The sequence below is a fragment of the Homo sapiens genome, chromosome 6, assembly GCF_000001405.40.
Source record: "Homo sapiens chromosome 6, GRCh38.p14 Primary Assembly".
NCBI lineage: Eukaryota > Metazoa > Chordata > Mammalia > Primates > Hominidae > Homo > Homo sapiens.
The window spans coordinates 91,472,573-91,496,939 of record NC_000006.12 but is presented as its reverse complement, the minus strand read 5'-3'; the positions used below and the strand labels follow the sequence as shown (position 1 = coordinate 91,496,939).

Here is a 24,367-nt window from a genome sequence, read left to right as displayed (position 1 = left end):
CTCAGTACTTTGATAACATAGATCTATTCTATTTTTAATCCTGAATAATTTAAAAAATTACTCTACATTAAATATTTAACCTATTCAAAATTATCCTGTCCTAAATATATCAATTAAATGCATACATTATATGCAAGATCACTTTTACTAAACCAAATTAAATATTGAACTAAATTTAATAATTAAACTGGATTTCATATTAGATCAATTTAACACACAGTATAAAAAGTTCAGTTTGTGCAAGAATGAAAGGGTAACAGGAATAAATATTGGATAGGTTAAAAAAGAAATGACTGTGAATTTAGTTAATAAAATATTCAACATTTAAAATTATAAGGTAATATTTATGCGACATATGCATGTATATTTGTGAATGTATGCACATGTGTATGTGTATCACTGTGCTGATGCATGTAAAGATTTTAGACATTATTACCTAAGTAGACCCTTATTCTGGAAATATCTAGATAATCATGACTTCCCAGAATTCCCAGGCACCACCATAGCGTATGTTTTCCCTCATAAAATGCAGTCAGGTAAAAATAAAAACATAAATTACCTCTTACAATCCCTAATAAGAACTACCATACTCATAATAAAAGATGAGTTGATACAGTGTCTGAGTAGTTGACTAGCTTCATTTACTCTCCAATTTTCTTCATTCATTGAAGAAAAATATTTATTGAGCATTTAGTTGTGCTGGGAACTGCTCTAGGTACTCAGGAAATAGAAATGAATCAAACACAAAATGTCCTTACTCTTATGGAGTTTCATTTTAAGGCAGCAGGAGGACAAACACACACATAATGTGCCATTTGATAACGAGATATAAAGAAAAATAAAACAGAATAAGGAGGATAGAGATTGACAGGGAAAAAAACAACATTTTATTTAGACTGACAAGGGAAGGTCTTTCTAGGAAGGTGGTATTTGGGTATAATGAAATGAGGAAGAAAGTCTTTCTGACCTGGAAGAAGAGTCACTAATCCTCAGAGCTGAAGATAGCTGCCATAGTTCGAATGTGTCCCCCAAAACTTCCTGTGTTGGAAACTTTATCCCCAATCCAACAATGTTGGGAAGTAGGGCCTAATAAGAGAGGTGATCAGGTCATGAGGGCGGAGCCTCAAGAATCGATTAATGTCATTATAATGGGAACAGGTTAGTTATCTCAAGAGCAGCTTGTAATGAAGGGAGTCCAGCCCCTTCTGCATCCCACTCTTGCCCTTCTGCATCCCACCCTTCCGCTATGAGATGACTTTGGCCAGATGCTGGGACAGTATTCTTAAACTTCCAAGTCTCTAGAATCGCAAACCAAATACAATTCTGTTCTTTATAATCTACCCAGTCTGTAATATTCTTTTATAGTAGCAGAAAATGAACTAAGACAGTAAATAAGTGACTTCTACTACACAGCAGTCTCATATATTTTACCATAAACTTTCAGCATTGCTTGCAAACTGTCCCAAAGGAAAATGTTAAACCTGAACATTCAGTAAGTTTTGAAGATCAAAGACATTCTAGAAAGGTCTCCAAATCCTAAACCCTCATGCAATATCAAATTAGAAATAAGTGTTTACACACATACACCAATGAAATTCAAAGTACAATTGTTTATACATAAAGTTTAAATCAAGGCTAGCCTCCAGTAACTGATATACAGGATTAATGCTATCTTCTGTTTAACTTAAAGTAAACTAGAACCTACAGTATATATTCTTTCTAAAATGCAAGAGTCCAATTTTCTGTCTTTGTAAGGAGGAAACATCAAACGAGATAGAAACTTCTTTGATGATTGAAAAGCTTACACGGCCTTCCAGTCCTCCCTCTGAACATTCATTCTCACTCTGCTCGCAGTATTTGAAGAAATAAAAGGGTAGAGAATAACACTGAATTTATACCAAAAGCAAGATATTAGCTGGAAATATGTTTGGGGCTAAAGCTCTAAAATAAAGCTGTTTTTTCCTAAAATCAATTTCTCTAAGTTTGCTGAATTTTATTATTAGGATCTATGATTACTTAGATTCTAATTAGTCAATTTTATTATACAACAATTAATTATAACTTCCATTTCTGAAAACTTTAGCAATTATAAAAGGAATCAAACCAACACAATTTGGCTTCAAATAGAGAAAAAATTGGGGTGGCTCAGTATTTTACACATATTCTATTTTCCACTTTATTGTCACAGCTCTTGAAAACACATACTGTATCTCTATCTCATGGATAAGTATAACAGTCAAAGTTAAAACTCTCTCAGTCAAGACCTATCATCTGTGAAACTTGCTTCCCCAGGAGATTCTTCCTTCCCATTGCTGTGACATTTTATCTAGCAAAGCATCTCTGTAACATCTATTTGGTAGCTTTGTTTGTTTGTTCCTAACTAAAATAGTGAGAAACCAAATTTATTCCAGTCAAATAAAAACCACTTGCCTTGTCAGCTTACTGCTATTGCTGTATGTCCTTGGTCTGAGAAGAAAGCATTGCTCTTTACTGGATCCCCCATACTATTAAAAGAGTGTGTGGTTTGCTATAGGTACTCCAAAAATTGAATTCAAATGAACTGCACTAAATTACCTGGAAGCCCATACTATCTTTACCCCTTCAATCCCCATTGCTTGCACCTGACATGATTTTTGCCAAACTTCATTAAATAACATTTGTCTTATTTTATATATCCTAGTATTCACTTTTTAATCTCAATAGAATAAATCTAATGAAAGTGGTAAAACATGTCCTAAAGGTAAATATGTCTTAACTATCGCTGCAAAAACTGTCTTCTCTTTTTCTTAATATCGCAATAAATGAAATACATAACTGTCTATAATCTACACATGCTTTCCACTATGCCTTCTTGATTACATTTTGTTTATAACAAAATAAAATAATTTAAATTACATTTGAGTGATTCTCCAGGATAATAATTCCTGATACTAACTTATTGCCAAATTCAAAAACAAAAAGGGGTTTTAACCAGAACTAAATTTCAGTGTTCCTGTTTGCTGTTGTATACATGTTTTTAAAATATAGCAGCCATGCATTATTCTCTTCCACTTTTGTAATATGCAAGATGATGTTATGCACGCTGCAGGTACACTGTAAAAAAGATTTATTTATGCAGCTTTGAAGTGGAAATAAATAGCTCTTCTTTGGAGGTTTAAAAAGAAATTTTAATTTGTTTATTTGATGATATTTTCCCAATTGTATAGTATTATTTAGCAGTGACCAATATTATTTTTAATGCAAAATCTTTATTGTAGTAGAAAATGAGATATTTGAACTTGCTCTGCTCTGATCAGTATAAGTCATTGATTGGAATGTGAAACAAGTTAGGATACACATTTAGGCTATATTTAGGCTACAGCTGTCCTTTTTTTTATTTTTTTTAATTTTTACTCCTCAATTTAAAGGGAAAGTTGGATCATAGCCATATTTTTTCTTGAAAATGGGAAAATGGCTTTTGAAACACTGAATGGGTAGAGACAGAATAACAATTCAATAATTAGGCATTCTTACAATCATTTGCTAAGCTGAACTTTTAAAATCAGACTTATAATTTAATTTTCTACCTATATACACACACTGTTGTTTATGTGAGGTTTCAACATCTCTTTCTTTCTCCTTCCCTCCCTCCCTCCCTCCCTCCCTCCCTCCCTCCCTCCCTCCCTTCCTTCCTTCCTTCCTTCCTTCCTTCTTTCCTTCCTTGCTTCCTTCCCTCTTTTGAAACAAGGCCTTACTCTGTCACTCAGGCTGGAATGCAATGGTGTGATCTTGGCTCACCGCAACCTCTGTCTCCAGGGCTCAAGTGATACTCCCACCTCAGCCTCCCCAGTAGTTGGAACTACAGGCACGTGCCACCAAACTCGGCTAATTTTTGTATTTTTTTGTAGAAACGGGGTTTCATCATTTGCCCAGGCTGCTCTAGAACTCTTGGGCCCAAGCAATTCAACTGCCTCAGTCTCCAAAGTGCTGGGATTACAGATATGAGCCAATGTCTCTTTCATTACCCTAGATATGGGAAAGTCCCAAGACAATGTCCTGTGAAGACTTCATTGTGTTACCAAATCTCAACAAGTATTGTATGCGCAACAAAGTCATAGTTATTCCATTGCTACAAAAGTAGTGGAAAAGAAGAATATCAGATATTTCAAATATCACCGCAGAATTCTTTTTTCTTTGGTGTGATATTGGATCATGGCTGTCAATTCTTCATGACTTTCCATAAATATATTTATACATTCATACCTTTAGCCATATGACTTTATAGTTCTCCCACTAAAGGCATGGTATATTTCTCTGTTTCACTAATGTTGGGATTGTGACATACTTGGTCAATGGAATGTGGGAGAAGTGAGAAGGTGCTAGTTCCAGGCAAAAGCCACAGAAGATATCAAATATTTCTACTTATCTTTATTCACTCCAGTGATTCACTGTGTTGAGAACAAGTCTCAGGTAGCTGCTGGTCCATGAAGAATAAAAAAGTACATGGAGCATACTGAGCCAACTTCAGCATGGACATAAGTTGAGCAGTGTCCTAAAGCAGGGCTGTAGCTGTTGACCTTCAGGCCAAAGGCTAAGAAAAAAGAATGCCTATTATTATAAATCACTGGTTTATTTCAGTTGTTATACAGCATTGGTGCAGCAATAGCTGACTATACAGATATTTTGTCCACAATAAGAGAGAAAAGAAACAAAGAAAAATAAATGCTTCTCAGAAACAATAGCCAATTTAATAATACAATAATATAAGGATAGCCTGTTATTTTAATAATGAAAATTATGGCATTTTTTAGATGCTAAGACCTCTATGAATAGACCTAAATACAAGGAACAAAGATAGTTTGACTATAATCTCCATTTGAATACAAAACAAAGGATTGGGTTATAGACACATTTACAAACAAACACATGAGGCTAATTGGGGTTCATTCTCCAGCATCAGTAATTATATAATCTATAAGTCCCTTGGAAAATATAAATTAAGATAGGCATATTTGGCTGAAGGAATCTTTGAAAATTTTGCTTACCTCATAGCATACTTTTAATGCCCGGGAATCAAGTAATGCCTCATCTCAACCTAACTCAAACATTTTACTTTCTCCAAACTTGTATAACCTTCAAAATTATTGTAACTTTTTACATCTCCTCCCATTATTTGATTTTTTTCACCACAAAAAGTCTTGTTATGACTAAGAGAAGTGTCTACTTAGAGGGAAGATTATTAGGAGAACACAAACATTTACCTCTTCTTTGAGGACTACCTTTACTATGACTTCCAGAGAAGAGAGAGAGAAAGAGGAAAAAAGAAAGATTTTTTAGATAATTTTTCTATTTCTTCCTGAAAACCAACTGCAATCATATATGTATATATGTCCCTGGATTCTATGAAACAACACTACCCTTAAAATAAATATTCCTCTTTGCTTACGAAATACTGTATGTATTTTGAATCGTATTCCTGCTACTTGAAACTAATTGATATAGAAATTACTTCCAGGAGTGGAAACTGCAATTGACAGACCTTAAAATATAAAACTGGCTGAAGTCAAAACATACAGGACTGATTCTAATCCTTCTCATGAGAGATAATTTATTTAAAATATCTTCTTCAGTTCCTTAACAATTAAACTATATGCTCTACAAGACTTAGTGAAAAAAAGGTCAGAAAGGTAGAGTATATTTATATTTTCTATATAAACTGTAATCAAAGCCAGCCCTCAAAATAACTAAAATGTAATAACAAAGGAATTATCTATGTTTCCTAAGCTCTTCTGCCATAGTCAGAGATCTAAGCACTGATGACATTTACATGATAAAAAGTCTCACTGAAACCGAGCAATCTCAAACTCTATAGCACTCTAAAGCCAGTGAACAAACTGGAGACTTTATAGGCTTAGGAATGGAAATGAAAATGCCTAGGAAAACCAAAATACCAAGAAAACTTCAAATTGCCTAAAACGACAAAGCTACACAAATAAGAGATGTCACCCTTAGATTAGGAAAAATGTCTCCCACTATGACTACACAAGCCTGTGGTTTCCTGTGTTCTGAAGGACAAACCATTAATCAAAGAACAGATTTGTTGTTACACAGAATTCATTGTCCTGTTTCTAAGAATTAGAAGTCATTCAGATGTCCAGTCTTGACTGTGGGCTTGAGAACAATGATTCCACTTGCTAATGAAGATCTCAAAAAAAGAAACTGGTGGGCACCCAATTATAGCTTGGATGTAAATCTCATACTCACTAAATAAAGAGTGGTGAGTGATTAAAAATTCAAGCAACGTTCAGGCACTAGTGTTTCTACTAACAGTAAATGAATCATAAGGACAGCACGATAAATTCTAACTGAAAACCTTCTTAGTACCAACCTTCAAAAACAATGGAATTTTTATTTTATTTTATTTTTCCTAGAAGACAAAATTGGAGCAACCAGTCTGACTGACCCAGCTGCCACTAAATTTAGAGGATAGGTAAAACTCTCATGATGGGCTCTGCAGCACTTTTATATATTTAGGAATGTATGTATAAAATTAGTGTAACTATCACCCAAATAATGTACATTGTACCTATTAAGTCATTTATCATCCCTCACCCCCTCCCACCCTTCCACCCATCTGAGTCTCCAATGTCTATTATTCCACATTCTATGTCCATGTGTACATATTATTTAGTTCCCACTTAGAAGTGAGAACATATGCGTTTTGACATTCTGAGTTGTTTCACTTAAGATAATGGCCTCCAGTTGCATCCATGTTGCTGCAACATATATTATTTTATTCTTTTTTATGGCTGAATAGTATTTTATATATATATATATATATATATATATATATATATATGAACATTTTATTTATCTAATCAGCCACTGATGGGCATTTAGGTTGATTCTATATCTTTGCTATTGTGAATAGTGCTGTGATGTACAAGTGCAGGTATCTATTTGATATAATGACTTCTTTTCTTTTGGGTAGATACCCAATAGTGGGATTGCTGGACCAAATGGCAGTTCTATCATTAGTTCTTGGAGAAATATCCATACTGTTTTCCATAGAGGTTATATTAATTTGCATTTCCACCACAGCTCTCTTTACTGGTCTTCCTCATTTTGCTGTGTTTTATTTATAATTTTTAAATTATATCAAAGTACCTCACTTGGACTTTTACATTTTTATACATATTTGCCACATCTGCTAACTAATTCAAATTTTACTTACTCTTTTGGTTATGTAATAGAAATGGAGGATTATAATCAATTGTTAACCTTTAAGTATTTAAAGTCAAGGGAAACTTCTCTATGGGAGGACCTCAATTTTCCACTTGGGCCAAAATGCAAGTCAGTGATGGAGGAAATTTCTGATTAAAAAATATTTAAGATTCAAAAGAAATCAGGCTAAGGAAGGAAGATATTAAAAGTGAAATGTAATGCTGATTTCAAACACCACTGTTATACCCCTTACATAAGAAAGGACCAGATGGTTGTAGACATGGCACATGTATACATATGTAACAAACCTGTGTGTTGTGCACATGTACCCTAGAACTTAAAGTATAATAATAAAAAAAATTTAAAGAAAAGAAAGGACTTGGCTGAGAATACATGCACCTGAGATCTGGATTCAGCTATTACTCTACTTAGGTCCTAAAGGTTAAACAAGATATTTATCTATTTATTGTCTCAATATCTTCACCAAAAAAGAGGTGTGGGTTGAGGAATGCATCTTTATCTGGGTGTGAGGTTGTTACTGGGACTAAGAAGCATTTAACACAAGGAATAATGTTAGTATTGACAAGTTAGGGCAAGTAAACTTGGAAGGCACATTTGATCGTTTGTATCTACCTGAGGATGGATATTTAATATAGAAATACTTGGGTCTCATAATAAAAAGCCTCCTAGGACAGGTGACTATTTCCTATAAAGTTTTTAGTACTCTTATTTTCAGTGTTTAAGATATATATTAAAGTTTTTGTGGCAATGAGAGAAGTCCATGTCTAAAGCAGTGAGAAATTAGTCCAGGAATAATAAAGTGAATTCCAAAGTCTAAAATTCGTATGGAAAAGTATTTGTGGTATATAGAGCAGTGGGACACAACACGCCAATGTGTCCAAGTCTAGAAACAGCAGAATCTGAGGTCCCAATACTGCGAGGATGCAGTTGTGAGTATTGCAAAAGTGAAGTGAGCTTGCTATTGGCAGATTACATTTTATTAGGTAGTAAAGGGTGTCCCAGGGAAAGAGTCAATAAGAAAGTAAGAAATACAGAGCTCTATAGAAATCAACAATGGGATACAGAATTGAGACATTCGGCACAAGAGTAAATTTATAATAGAAATACTATTGAAAAACAAAGCATTTTTAAAAAACTGTGTAACACACGGACGAGCAGGTGATCCATAGTACATCTCATGGGCCTTCCATTAGAAAAGTTGGTCAGAGGAAAGCCAAAAAGAGAGGTGGCAATAGGAGGGCAGGGTGAAATTAATTACATAGCAGAATAAAAGGATCATCCTCTCATAGGAACAGCAAGCAGGGCTGATCTGCATTTTAGATAATTAATCCTAGTGAGGTCTAAGATCCAAGTTCTTCCATTCAGGCACTTATCCTGGAAATGAGTGAAATACTAAAAATTTTACTAAGTCAAATATCTCATGATGTCTTCTTCTATTTCCTCTTTAGGGTGTAACACAATTTTAAGTGAATAAATACACCCTGAATCAAGGGAAATGAGGAACAAAGCATCTGTACATTGTGTAATCCTTGCTGATTGCAGAACTTTTGGGCCAATTCTGTGTTTCACAGAATTATGGTGATTCCAATAGGAGATTTTCGTAGCCTCATAAGAACTTATAGTAATCAAAGAGGTTTTTCTTCTCCTGTAGAAATAAGAGTAAGTTGGGAGGGAAGGATGTGAGGGCAGGAAAAATCTTTCACCTTAGTGTTACTGAGGGCCAGTTTCCCATTAACAGGCTAGTCCTGCAGGACCAGTTCATTAACCATGAATGCTTTGTTTCTTCACAGAATGTTTTGCAGCCCTGATGAGCTTGGCTTTGAGTGCCTCCCCAGAGGAGGGAAGACTAACTGATGGGAACACAGCAGGCTAAGCCTACGTGTTCTAAGGAAAGTGTACAGTTGCTAATAAAGTGTTTGGATTTTTCTTTTCTTCTTTTCAGGTGCAGAAAGCTCTGGGGACCCTGATGTGCTGCTTGATATTTTGATCTCAGTCTAAATCTATGCAGTTTTTGTGCATCTAAAATTAGGTCTTCAGGAGAATGTATTACTTGATGTGTATTCAGAGAATGTAGAAGTAAAATAAGCGCATTTTATGAAAAAAAATGTTAGAAGTAAGTGAATCTGCAATGACCTTACACCCAAAAGAGATAGACTCATAGGGTCTAACATCACTGAATGAGACCTCAAGAGGCCAACCGCCCATCTCATTCACAGACAACATCTGAGAAGGCTGCATCCCCTTGAACACATACAATGATAAAAAAAAAGTCCCCATCTCTCAAGATAGTTCTTTTATTTTAAAGCCATTTCTAATTATTCTCTTATCAAAGCACCGGCCTCAGATTTGCTATTTGGGGTCCATGATACAAATCTAATTCCTAAGCCATTTTTTTCCGTCAAATTTTGGAAAACATCATGTCCTCTGTCAACATTATTTCAGATTAAAGAATCCCGATTCTTGTGGCATTTCTTGTAATATACTCTTCTAAGTCTTAGGAACCTTGTGCTAACATATTAGTTAGGACAGTTTGGTTGCATGTGACTGAAATCCAATGAAAACTAGTTAGGCAATGAGAAAAATGTATTACACATGTACTAGGATGTTTCGCAAAAATTCAACAATTTTGAATCAATTATTCTCTGAAATTTCTTTTAGTAATAAAGGTTTCTTTTTAAATATGATGAAAATGGGCTCAGTAATTTCTGACTAGTTCAAAGAAATATTTACCTATTATTTCCTATTTTATTGACTAGTATATGTCTACTACTGCAGTAGTTCTCAACCAAGCCATTGCAGGAGTAAAGAGTGTTTTATATGTGAATTATTATCTCATTGCCTGGATGTACTACCGGCAGTATTGGGTAAGGCCTATGGATCCTAAGTCTCTTGTCAAACAGAGACTGCTCTGCACGGTGAAAAATTATCCTACCCAAAACCCAGTAGCTGACCCATGAAGAAATGTTGTTAATATAGTCAAGGGTTTTGGAGCTAAATCACAATGTTAATACAAAATTCCCTTGCTGTAGCCTCCTCAACTCTTTTTTATGTGAAATTTCACTAAGCGAAATCTCTATCTTACCAATTTGGCAATTGAACTTTTGATTCCAGTTGCAGGTTTGTATTTTAAATTCTATTTTAGTTATTGTTTACCAATTACTTCAAGTTATTATTATTACTTTTTAAAATCTTGAGTAAGTCATTTTAGAGATACTGTAAAGTAGTGGCTAAGACACCGGCTCTAAATCAGACAGACATGAGTTTAACTACTCCCTCTACTGACTTTTAAGATGGGTGACCACAGGCATAATAATTAACCTCTCAAATAATGCATCTACCAGATGAGGATATAATGATTAGCTCATCCTTTGGCTGTAAATATAAAATAAAAGAGCCTAGAATAGAACTGTCCAATGTACTGTGACAGTTACACTGGTAGTCCTAATTATGATGATTCACAAATTTCATGAAAATGCCTTATATAGATTCCCTTCATTATTGATATGAATGTTTTCATATACCTGTACCATGTCCACAAGAGGCCTCTAGTTATAATGATCTTATTCCATTAATCCCCAGAAGAGAACCTTAACATAATAGGCAGCAGTTTTGTTGTCAATTATTTTTAGCTCTTAGGTCATAAATTGTCCATTGTGTATGTTTCTTCAGCTTTAGTTCCATCTACAGCATGTCCTACCATTCCTAGTCTTAAATGAATCCCCTTCTAGAGAAGAAGAAAAATTTGTTTCAAGTAATTCTGAACTCATGCTTTTCCAATGAAAAGCTAATTAGAAGAGTAAAGTCGCAAGTTTTTAAAATTAATCTATTCTCACATATATTTTAAAGTATTCACAGATATATGAAAATGTAGGCATAATTATTGCTCTTCATATGCAATCTTCAAATGTAATCATTTACATTCCCACATCAAAGATTATTGACTAGGCAGCTATCTGTGGATCCAAATAAATCATTAAATTCAGCCAAGCCCTGAGGCAGCATAGATCATTGGTAGAGCACATTGCTTAGGACCTAAATGAAATAGACCTATGTTCAACACATTTGTTGAGGGGTGGAAGGGGGAGAGAAAAGACCTGTAAATCCTGCTCAGATTTAAAGAAAAATAAAATAAACATTTGAAGATCCAAGTATATCTCTGTGTCCTGACTTGGTATCTTTGAAGCAATGAGAGAACTCAATTTGAAAAAGTCCACCCAAGAGCAGACTTATGGTAGGTTTCCTTAACCCTCCCATGGATAGACACACCGGATGTGCAGCTACTACTACGTTTTTTAGAGATGCCCCATTTGGGTCACACAGGAAAATGTGCTGTTTCCCATGTCCTGAGAACATAGTAGTAGAGAGAGCTCCATGTCAACATAGCTCATTAGACCAATTAAGAGTATGACAGGGAGGAGGATATGGGAGAAGGATGTCCTGCTACACTGCATGTGGCTGCACATGTGTGCTGTCCCCAGAGGGAGGCACAATAGCAGCATGGACCCAGCAACTATGTAGGAAAATACATGCCTGAGAGCTATGGATGCCCCCAGGTGATTCTATCATCTGTTCCTTTTTATAATAATTCCTCTCTCATCTTTTAAGTTTTGTAAGAATTCATCAAACAATATGTACTAGCTCCTGGAAAGGTATAGGGTTATAAAATTTTAAAAGTGCAGTTTATGCCCCTAGCTTAGTAGAAAATTAAAGATTTCAGGGTCTTCCATATGTAAAAGCTCTACCTCTAAGCCACATCAATTTATTCTTTCTGATATGTACATTATTGTTTACATGTAGAAAAATTTGTGAAGCATTATATATTAGAGTGGGAAGATATGTTTTGAAACCTAACTTGGCTGTCATACAATTTTGCATGATCCATATTCTAATAATAATTAGTGAGGGTCTATTGAAGATCTATTTCTTTTTTTTTTTTTTTTTTTTTGTGATGGAGTCTCGCTCTGTCGGCCAGGCTGGAGTGCAGTGGTGCGATCTCGGCTCACTGCAAGCTCCACCTCCCAGGTTCATGCCATTCTCCTGCCTCAGCCTCCCTAGTAGCTGGGACTACAGGCACCCGCCAACACACCCGGCTAATTTTTTGTGTTTTTAGTAGAGACAGGGCTTCACCGTGTTAGCCAGGATGGTCTCGATCTCCTGACCTCGTGATCTGCCCACCTCAGCCTCCCAAAGTGCTGGGATTACAGGCGTGAACCACAGCGCCCGGCCTGAAGATCCAAGTACTCTGGCTTCCTTTAATTCTGCCCACAAATCTCTGATACAGATTGTTTTACTTTACATTTAATAGATAAAGTAAAAAGTTTTAAAAAACCTATTTAGGTGAGCAAAGGAAAATACCTTGCCCAAGATCACAGAGTAAAATATCTAGATTAGGAATTGTGATAGTCACATGCTATACCATATTAAGAATGTATATATACACATACATTTATATATACATACAAATCAAAAATATTTTCACTTGATACTTTAAAACTTACCTTTAAAATGTTATATAGGCAAACATTCTATTTGAGTACATGCTTAGCATATGTTTATGTTAACATTATTTGAAATAATTATTCAGTAGTAGCTAACTAAACATAGTGTTTTAAAGTCTTCAGAGTATTTTTACATGTACTGTCATATTCCATGCCAAAAACTTACTACTAATAATAATTACTTTTTATCATTAAGAATTTTGCTAGGCTAGAGCATGCTAAATTAATCAAAGCAGATTTGATCTTCACATTTCACAAAGGAAGTAACTAAGAACCTACGACCTAAAATAACCTGCCCAAGATGACAGGGCAAATAAGCAGCAGCACCAGCACAGGCTCTAATCCAAATCTTCCGGCTTCGAGGCATGTGTGCATGGGAATATATGAGTGAATAGAGATTTGATATGTTATGGAATTTATACACTTGATCACCTTTCTCAGCCAGCAAGAGATGTATCAGAAATTACTATAAGCCTGGAAAATAGCTTGTACCCACTAAAATGTTGTATAAAATGTTTAAAACTCAACAACAGCATGGATCTTAGAAGTTTCCATTTCTGCTGCACACTTTAGTCATGAGCTTTCCCTTTACCGTGGAAAGCAGTAGCATTCTGAGTCAGATTAACTGTCTACATGTGAAACCAACACAGAATCGGGTATCCTCACCCCCTCTCCTAGGCCACTTCTGTAAAAGTCTGGGAATTAAATGTTTTTTTGTACATAGTTTCTTTTATTATGTGAAATCATGAGTTACTGCGAAAACAGGCAACTGAAAGCATAATATATTATCTGTTTAGATTTAGGACGCATCAGAGTATAAGTGCTATCTAAGCCAGGTTGTATTTATCTTATATTGGCCAACAAAAACAGCTGCTTCAGTACTTGAACCCATGGTTTTGGCTCCGTAGCTCTTTTAGTCAAATCAGGTAAATCCCTAATAAGATCAAATAACTGGCTTAATCATGGAATGAACATAGTAAAATTAAAATGTTGATTAACAAAATATCTATCATATGAGAAGCCACATGCATCATACCCATAACCTATATTGCGCTATTTTCATAAACAAGCGATTTAAACAAAGACGTTAGAGGAGCACAGTAACATCAAGGAAACAAAAAAAATTACATAACATTTAGATAAATACCTGTTCTGTCCTGGCATGCAAATTGAGTAGGGATAGAGTAGTTACACAGACTGTGCATTCTGCAGTCTGGCTATGGTCTGCTTGGAACTGCAACCGTGTTTTAATGGCAAATTCAGAGGGATGGAATGTATATTGCAAGCTTGACTTTTCTAATAATCTTTGCTCTGCTCTAACATTCCTGACTTCTATGGTAGTGGTAGCGTTTTATATTTTACAGAGTGAGATCATTTTAAAAATACTGTTATGCAGGCAATTAAGATTAAAGCCAACTTCCCCTTCACACTCTCAAGTAATATGCTTCTGTATCCAAAAGATAAGAACTTGAGAAATGACTCACTGGGACAGGCCAATGGGCCTAGAGTCCAGAAATCTGTCTCTGACAGTGACAGCAAAGGGTTTTTTAGGGGATTGCATGGTTACCCACCATGACATTACCCTGAAGAAGCAGGAAGTGTATATTAAGAACACCTGATGACCTTTAACAATCTGTTATGAATCTGACATCAAAATGTATCTAATCCTTTGTGAACTTATACATTCATTTGGCTTCTGATGCCTTTACTGCATCAGGCAGCCTAGGAGTAGGAGTCAAACATCCTTTGTTTCAATACAAACTGTTTCACTGCTGGTTGAATGAACTTGGGGAAATCCTTTTACTTCTCACAGCCTCAGTTTGTTTATCTGTAAAAAGCAACCGTAACTGTCCTGCCTACATAATCAAATTTCAAAAAGTTATTGTAAAGAACAAGTGAGAAAATTAACATAAAATGCAATGATCCAGATTTAAAAGTAACATTCTAATTACCTTACAGAATTCCCAGGCTCATCTCCCATAGCAAGTTACTGACTACTTGGAAGAGGTCATGGACATCTAAAAGGTGGAGTTCTCACTAGGCCATTCCTCTTTCAGATAATTAAGAATATTACATAAGAGCAGACAAACAGCTATATTCTTTGAATAGACAATTGTTAGTTTATATCACTCAGGAAATACAGTCTCATCTTTGCCTTTTTGTTTCTAAAAATAAAAATAATTGATTCAAAAATAATATTAAACACTTACTATGTCCATAGGCTACTGTTCTGATGACAAGTAGAGTTTACATTGTTTTATATGCCTATATTTACCGCTGATTTTAGAACTGGAACTCAATGTGGTTTTTAAGATTCAGAAACTGTTTCTTCATATGTTTGTTTGTGTCTCAAAAAATCTAAAATTTCTGGGAAGAATAACTGAGTCTTCCAGAAACCATGTTGTTTTTCTACAAGGAAGAATTAAAAGTTATACCATAAAATATATAGCTAAAAAAGGAACAATTCAGTGTGTGAGAAAAAAGAAATAAAGATGTAGAAGAAATTTGCCCTCAAAGAAAAATATACATGATCCAATCAATTTCCAAAAGATTATGATGATTCAAGTCATTAAACAAATTATCAAAATTTCAAATATTTTGAACCAGTTAAAGGCTCTTTTGCCTTCTTCAAAGCAGTTCCCAATTTGTAATTTTCTATCAGTTATCCACACTTTACCATTTCTGACATGTACTGACCTTTCCATATTAATAACTTCTTTACTGGATTTACAATTTTGCTAATACAGCTGTCAGGACTGTGTTTTTGTAAGATGTGAGGATGAGAGAGGTCAGCAGTTTCAGTAACACACTTTTTAGTAAGATCATGAATTTGTAAAGATGGTACAGAAGTACAGTTGCCTTTTCCAGATAATTTAAACTGGGAAATGCGATAGGAGACAGTGGGACATTGCAGATTAATGTATCTTAAGGAGCTCAAAGAGCAGATTTAGGGAGAAAGGAAGATTAAAAATTCCTGGAAGATGAAGCTTCTACTCCTTCAAAGACGTAAGAAAAAATACTCCCCAAAAAGTCTCTTTTTCACTTGTACCTTTACCAAGATCATTACTTTTTTAAAAGTCAGGTACAGTATTGTGCCCCCAAATGACCTACTCTGTAATTCCACTTTGCTAATGATCATTCTTCTCCACTTTTATTGAAACATTCATGAGGTAAACTCAGGAAGATAACAGGGGAATTCCTCTGAAGCCTGCACGGTGCTTTCAGTGTTTTAAGTGACACTCTATTAAGCCATCCTGTGTGATGGGTCAACATACTACATCTGAAACAATTCGATTTTAGACATGCTAACTGCTTTATCGCATCTTGCAGTCTCTAACCAAGTAGCATTTAGCTTCATCATTGTAGTCTCTTCATTTATTTTAAGACCAAGTCACAAGAACAACCTTACCTGATTTTAATTGCTCTGCCCAGTCTCTAAAATATTTGTAATTGTTATACATTTGAATCAAATTTATTAACAGACATATGGTTATAATAGAGAAATCACTCCAGCTGGTGAAGCCCCATGCTAAGCTGACAATAATTTGATCATTTGCAAATCATTGTTACTTGAATGTTTTCTTAGTACAGCTTAATTATGACTCGGCTCAGTCCAAAGTACAATTCACTTCCTGGGAAAAAAAAGAAATTGAATGCTCTCAACACAAGTAGGGCAAACTTTGTTATTTATGTAGATCTCTCCTGCACAACTGAACATCTGCTATTAAATGTGTTTCTAGTCTCCATGCTAGCTTTTACCTTCATCATTCAAACCTGGCATGAAATTTACATCAACTGAGAATTCATGTTATTTACTCATTGCTAACTATTACCATCCCATTAAATTTTAGCCTATAATACCCTCTGGAAAATTAGAAATGTTTATAAAAATAAATGTACAAATAAGACAGGGAGACATTTTGCCTTTTTCCCGCAGAAGCTCTTTGACAGGTGGTCACCTTGAAATTATGCTGTGATAGTACAGCCAATTTTAAAAAAATGGTCTTGATACAGAAGGTAATCAAGAGCTCTTGGGAGCCAGCTCTGCATTTTTCTAAGCAATCTTTTCTGCAGTTTAAATGTGTTCATACAAATCTTAAATGACATATAAAGCAATTTTTTCTTCCAACTATATAAATTAGTCATAGCATTGTAATTAAATGTCACAGAATGGCAAATAATTATCTTACTTAAATGGTTAATATAGGAAAAATCCATCAACTATCAGTCTTGAATATGTAAACATGGTACTTGAGATTGTACTGATATAATTAAACTTAAAAGCAGATTTTATTTGTGTGGCCACACCTGCCACTGACAAATCAAGTTTGAAAACTGTATTTGGCTACAGGTCTCACAAAGAGTCCACATCTCTTCAACTCTACTTCAACCCACCCATACTTAGGTTAAGTATTCAGGTATAGAAACTCTATGGTCTCTTCTTGCCAAAAAGAAACTTTGAGGGTCAGCGTATTCCATATGAGAGGCCTCGGAAATTTCTGATTAGTATCAATTTCCTTGCCACTTCCTGTCTTTCTCTTTTAACTGTTTCCTACGGCCTTGGCAGATTCTTGGAATTTATGCTACTAAAAATGAGGCCCTTGTTCACCTCTTCCATGGGATGAGGACTATACCTTAGGCTCATAGCTCACTCATGGCAGTTTAAGAAAACTGTACAGATCCTATCTTTCAGAATGGTACTTAACTTTGCAAAAGCCCATTGAACAATTCAGCAGTTAGGATGCAATGTGATACCACACTATCATATTCCTCTTTTCAACATCCCTTCCGCTTTATTATACTGGGGACCATTATCATCCTATTCTCCTGCTCAGCAGTTGCTTTGCTCACCAAAAACATACACTCCTAGGAAGAAATAAGGAGTTTGAGAGCACGTCCCTCTTAACCCTCTGACAGGGCCTAGGGCCCTTCTGAAAACTCCGTGCTCAGGTCCTAGTAGGAGTAACTAAAGTAAATGCAGGACAGAAAAGTTGATTAGGCAATTGGACCACATGGAAAGAACTACAAAGCAAACTCTATATTATTCCATTTCTTTGACCTTAATAATGCTCTACCATTTAGGGCAGAGGATCAGCCAATGAAGACCAAAAGAAAATAGATAAAAATATTATCCAGAACAGAGAAAGAGTATTTTTCCCTTTAGTCACTCTTGTTGAAGAGTTTGTATCAATCCACAGGGGAAGAAACCTGAACCACATTCTTGCAAACATGCACAATATATGTGTTACAGATATATTAAACAAGCAAGACTCCTGGGTATAGAGTAAAATAATGCTTCTTTTCTCTAAACAGCTCTTTAAAATGTGTTTAGTGGGGGAAGTTTCTTCCTTGATCCCTGATAAAAATTCCCATAATCCCATAACTTGTTTGATCAGTCTTAGGCAACAAGAAATCCTATGGTTTAATCACAATTAAATCTCAATTCAGTTATTTAAAATATCTAGTCCTAAAATAAATAAAAATTCCAAACTCATTGTGATGTTAAATCTTTTTCTATGTTACTGGACCTGTATCAAGCAGTAGGCCAGGGACAAGGATTGTGGTCCTTCTCTCCTCCCCTGCCTTGTGCTTATATCCCTCTCCTATCTTCCCAATCACATCGTATTTGGCAACAACCAAATGACTCTTACTTGATAAACTCCATTCCAAAGAACCAAAAAGGAGGAAAGTTCTCCCAAAATAGGTAAATAACATACAAGAAAAAAAAAGTTGCCAAATCTCACATCCCAAACTAGCTGCAACAATCCTATAATAATATTAGTAAGCTGCATCTATCAAATGCACATGGTATTTAATCACATTCCATCAGGCACAAATAGGGAAGGAAGAAAGGTAAAGGCAGAAAAGTTCTTTCCTTATGGGCATTCATTAAATTGACTTTGTACTCCCCAGATATGTCATGTATTTAAAGCTGACTTCATGTTTGGTGCCTAATTTTTTTAATTTAATATTTAAAAATTTTTAAATTTTTTAAAAAAGTGTTAATGCTATCTCACATCCTCTGGGGACTCTGAAGATCCAGGGAGAGCAGACATCAGAATTATCCCAAGCTAGGGTATCCCATTCCCTGATGGTTGAGGGTTGCCGGTCTGAGAATTAACCCCTCTGCAAACCCCATATTGAGAATGTAGTTATAAAGATTGGCTGAAATTTAGATTAAAGAAAGAATGAAGGAGGAGATCTAAAGAACAGTTAAAAAGTATTAGAGTTGGATAGAATTGTTATAAAAAATTGAAAACACAGGACACAGTTATGGGAGAGTGGGAGACTTGAAATAAGATTATGTACATGTTGCCGTTACTAGTCGTGAAAGGGACTGGTGTAGGACAATGGAAATGGATGGCTTAAGTAGGGTGGGGGACGTGATCATTGGAAAGCAGCGGTTGAATCGAACAGCCATTGTATTGAAAGATTATCTACTTAAATAATGAAATCTCCCCAAAATAACATGAGGGTCATGTTGGAGATACTGATAGTGAGCCAGGAGTTAAATCCGCAAATGAAATGAAGAAATGATCTAAAAGTTGGTACAACTAGAAAGGATAGTGTGCAATTACATACCCAAGGGTTGAGATATTGTTTAAAATCAGGAATGAGAGTTGAAGTACTGCCTAATTACTGACTGCTTTCCAGGCAGCACAGTGGGGTTATTTTAGGTTTGAAAGTGTGGAGGTGGTCCTAGAATGGCATCAGAGGGCTGCACAGGAGGCAGTATCTCCAGGGCCCAGGAATTAGAGTCTGAAGAAGCACTTAAAACTCTACCCACAAAACAACATCAATAAATACGGTCCAGAACATTTAAAAGATACCAATCTTTCAACCACCAAATTATTCCTACTTGATAAACTCCATTCCAAAGAACCAAAAAGGAGGAAAGTTCCCCCAAAATAGGTAAATAACATACAAGAAAAAAAAAGTTGGCAAATCTCACATCCCAAACTAGATGCAACAATCCTATAATAAAATTAGTAAGCTGGATCGATCAATTATTTTTGAAATCACAATAAGACTGAGTTTGTTAAAAGAATGGAAGAAAGGTTAACATGTAATTTATTCACCATGTTATTAAAGGAGAAAAATTAAAAGCTTATATTCATCTCAATAAATGCCCAACATTTTGATAAAATTTAACACCCTTTTATGATTTAAAAAACAGCAAACTAGAAATAGAATGGAATTTCCTTAATCTGAAATAGCTAATCAAAAGCCTATAGCAACTTTTATTCTTAATGGCATATCATTACATGCTTAACAAGCATGAGCAGAAACACAACTCTTCAGATGAAATCACCAAACAATTTAATTTTGTTTTTCTATCATCTTTTGGTTCTTTACTCTCTTTTGAGTTTTATCTCAGTTTGATGAGTTTGCATTGTTTAAAAATTGTATTAAGCATTCTAAGTGGAATTACACTGAATTATTGATTTATTTGAGAATTGTTATCTTTACAGTATTTATTCTGCTTAAATAAGATCAATAAATATCTCCTCATTTTATAGATCTGTTGGGCCCTGAAGTAATGTTACATTTCAAAGTTTTTAAACAACATTTATGGAATATTTTCTTGAGTACTTAATTGTTTTTGTTGCTATTATAAAATGCACATATATTGAAATTTTACAATGTGCTATTGCTGGATGTAGACAAAACATTGATTTTCATATGCTGATTTGTTTGCAGCAAAGCTTCAAACTTTATTAATTCATAAGGCTATCTATAGATTTGTTTAGATTTTCTATGTGGTTAGTCATACCATCTGTGAAAAAAGGAGGGTTTTCTTTCTTCTTTCCAATTCATTGAGTTCTTATTTCTTTTCCTGATCTCACTGTGTCCATCTGGTAATTGTAGAGGAGAAGTAGTGGGTGACAATGGTCAGTCTTTCTTCTTCCTGTTAGTCATGGATATTTGCCATTCTTTTGGCCAACTAACACCTGAACTTCCTCCCTAGTAGAAATCCTAACAGGAGGCACAGCTCACCCTTAAAGTGAAAGCTAAAAATGTGATGTTCACTTTTCCAGCTCTAGGCCACTTCAGAAGGGCCATGTGACTTAGGCTCCTTCAATCAAACGTACCCTCTGCCAGATTGGATGAGTCAGCTAAAAACAAGCAAGCAGCCAGGGCAGCGGAGCACTTTTTCTGTGTAATGCAGTGATTATAATCTCTGCAAAATCAAGTTTGCAGTGCAGAAGTGACAGTGGAACAGGTGGCGGGGGCTTTACTCTAACACTGAATTCCTACAGCACAAAGTGCTGCTGTGCAAACCAGGAGCATTTGGCATTTAACTGCGCTCAAATGATCCAACAATTTTTTTTTTTTACCTATCTAATAACCTTTTTGAAAGCCTACTTGCTGTTAAATCAAGCAATCCTCCCACCTCAGCCTCCTGAGTACCTAATATGTGCCATCATGCCCAGATAATTTTTTTGTGGGGGGCAGGGGTTAGTGGGTAGAGACGGGGTCTTGCTATGTTGCCTAGGCTGTTTTCAAACTCCTGGCTTCAAATGATCCTCCCGCCTTGGCCTTCTGAAGTACTGGAATTACAAGGATGAGCCACTACGCCCAGCCTTGCTGAAGCATTATTTAATTTAATTTAATTAATTAATTAATTTATTTTTTGAGATGGAGTCTCTCTCTGTCACCCAGGCTGGAGTGCAGTGGCGCGATCTCGGCTCACTGCAAGCTCCGCATCCCGGGTTCACGCCATTCTCCTGCCACGGAGGTATTTTTATAACAGTTTTGCATTTGCCTTTATATACCATCATGGAGTATTATTAGCTCAAGCCCACTTTCAATGTCATTTCTAAGCTAGAGGTTTGATATATCATTTAGTTAATATTGTCACAACGAATTCAGGAAAGATACAATTTCAGGCACAGATTTCTCACAGAAATGTATTGCCATCCAAAGCATGACAGAGTAAGGATTCTATATTTTCTTAAACACGTTTTGGAGTTGTGGTCGTTCCACGGTCCTGATTGATGAGAAACTCTTAGTTTTATTGCTCTGCCTTGCAAAACCCTGCAGTTTTTTTTCCCATTCTTATGTGGGCTTTAAAGACCAGAAGAAAATTCAACTTCTTACTATGATTGAGTGTCTCGTATCAGAACAACCAGAACAACTTTCTCAGTAAATATGAGAGCCAAATAATGAGGAAGAGAGAAAAGAGAGAGATAGAGATAGAGACAAAGCTAGAGAAAGAGGGAGCAGGGGCACAATTGTTTGAACGCTTTGAAAAGCAATTAAGGCAGGCAGAACTCAAAGTGCCAAGATACTGGAGAAAAGTAAAACGCCCTGAGATAGTCTTACATTCAAGGTCATTTCAAGACATTTGACAATTTGAGGTAGAGACATGAGGCAATATGAAGCCTCAGCTTAGAGCTTGTGAGAGTATCACTGAATTGCAGAGACAAATATGAATTTGGTGCTAACCCAACCCTTCAAGACTTGGAAAGGCACCATGCCAAAGAAAAGGCACTCACACAAAAGTGAGTCCAATGTTTAGCTCTTATTTTCCACTTGAGGCATTTGATGATTTCTAAGCAAGGTGTATTTTAGGCAAGGCTCTGAAAAATAAAGAAAAAAAGTAGCTGCTAAGAGAATAAAAAAGCCAAGAGGATTTCCGGCATTTTCATGGAGCTAGAGAAACCAAAATTTGAGTTCAAGACTCATCAAAAAGAAGCACCATAGTAAATACTGTAGGTTTCCAGCTGAGATTTCTAAAATGGGCAGATTAAGGTGATCTGTTCATATTTTATTTGCCTTCCAAAATAAGGTTGAATTATCTCTGCAGGAATATAACATCACACAGAGCCTCTCAATTTTGCATACTCAGTATCCAGCAATCATTAAAAACCGTCTATCTGTGTTAGGAAACAGAAGAAAATTACTAAAAGCCAAGAGAAAAAAAGTTTTTAAATATATCCATAGGTTATCCAGATATTTAAGTTATCATACAGGAAGTTAGAAAATATTATAATCAGAAAAAAAGAAAAAATATAGAGAATTTTGCCAAATATTAAAATGCATTAACAAATATATCAGAGGGAAAATCTAAAACTGAAGTATAACCAACTGAAAGCAAGACAAAATGGATAGACTGAACAGCAGATTATAGAGGAATAGAGGATTTGTGATCTAAAAAGATAAGATTAAAACTAGCTTTAGCATTCTTTACATTAAGAAACATAAATATTTAATATGTATTCACTTTAAGTCTGGATGATAGGCATAATTTTAACTTTTTGAAAAGTTTACTTTGTTTTTAGAGGTTCCATCTGGATGCCCAAGTGGATTATCCCATGAGGCAAGCCACCCAGACCAGTAGATGTGGCTGAGTGTAAAAACAGTCTAAAATGGGTGGTAACAAAGGACATGACATGTATCAATAATGACCCTGGGACCAAATGCAGAAAGGGAGGCTGTTGTTTTTCCTGTCAACGTTGCTCTTGTAAGTTTTCCCAGAAATGTTAGCTAACAGGAATCCTGGAAAAGCTGCAACAGGATGGAGTGAATATGAAAAACAAGTGCATCTCAGTAATGCAAGGCATAGGCTATAGAAGATACTACTGATGGTTTACCCATACACAGTTGGATTCCTTTAACTAGGCTGATGTTCTCCATTCTCCAGCTTCTATGAGTGCTGCTGCTAACAGCTCACACCTGCAAACTTCGCTGGAGAGTTCTTGCTTCTCCAAAAGTGCCTGAAATTATATCCATTCTCCCCCCAGGGGAGATTATAGCCAATAACTGGCTGTTGGAAGGAGGTACAGAAGCTCCACAAAAGCTCTGCTACTCTTGCCTCAAAGTGTGTGTGGTGTGCGATGGATATACAGTTGACCCTTGAAAACCACAGGTTTCAACTGTGCAGGTACACTTATATGTGGATTTTTTCCAACCAAATGCACACTGAAAAAACAGCTCTCGTGAGATGCAAAACATGCACTTGCACTGGGTCAAATTTTCTTATAGGTGTGTTCCACTGAGCCCACTGCAGTACTTGAGTGTGCACAGATTTTGATTTAGGAAGGGATCCTGGAACCAATCCCCCAAGGGACAGGCACAACTGTGCTCTGTTTCTACATTTATGCTCAAGAGCTTCTCACATGATCAGGCTGATGCTGAATTCCACTTGAAGCTCTTTCTCACTTAAATTTACCCCTTCCCTGTCCTATTTTCTCATCCTCCAAAGGATTCCCCTTAAAAATCACCTGCACTTGAATATTTGTCTCAACACCTGTTTCTAAAGGATCCAACTTAAGATACTTCCAAAAATGAGTTTAAAAAAAATAGGCATGGCACAAATTAACACCATCGGGAATAAAAAAGAAGACATTACTAAGTGGCAACCGTTACAAAGATAGCAAGAGATTATTATTAACAACTTTATGTCGATATGTTTGAAAATAGACATGTTCTTTAAAAACAACTAAGAAAATAAACACGAGGAGAATATAAAATCTGATTATCCAATGTCTATTAAGATACTGAATTTATAATTTAAAGCTTTCTTAAAAGTAAACTCCTGACCATATGGCTTTATGGGTAAAATTGTTTAAACATTTAAGAATAATATTCATTTTAGGAAAACACTACCAGGGAATAGAAAAATAAAAACATGATCTTAA

The 24,367-nt window shown here is 35.5% G+C and overlaps 2 annotated features.

Moving 5' to 3' along the window:
* Window positions 20,742-20,942: a silencer, noted in NCBI's record as "peak5963 fragment used in MPRA reporter construct". NCBI's record gives its function as "represses an SCP1 promoter by STARR-seq MPRAs in K562 erythroleukemia cells {active_cell/tissue: K562}" and the evidence as "EXISTENCE:reporter gene assay evidence [ECO:0000049][PMID:32103011]".
* Window positions 22,895-23,189: a silencer, noted in NCBI's record as "tiled region #15648; HepG2 Repressive non-DNase unmatched - State 24:Quies, and K562 Repressive non-DNase unmatched - State 24:Quies". NCBI's record gives its function as "represses a minimal TATA promoter and a strong SV40 promoter by Sharpr-MPRA in HepG2 and K562 cells {active_cell/tissue: HepG2 | K562}" and the evidence as "EXISTENCE:reporter gene assay evidence [ECO:0000049][PMID:27701403]".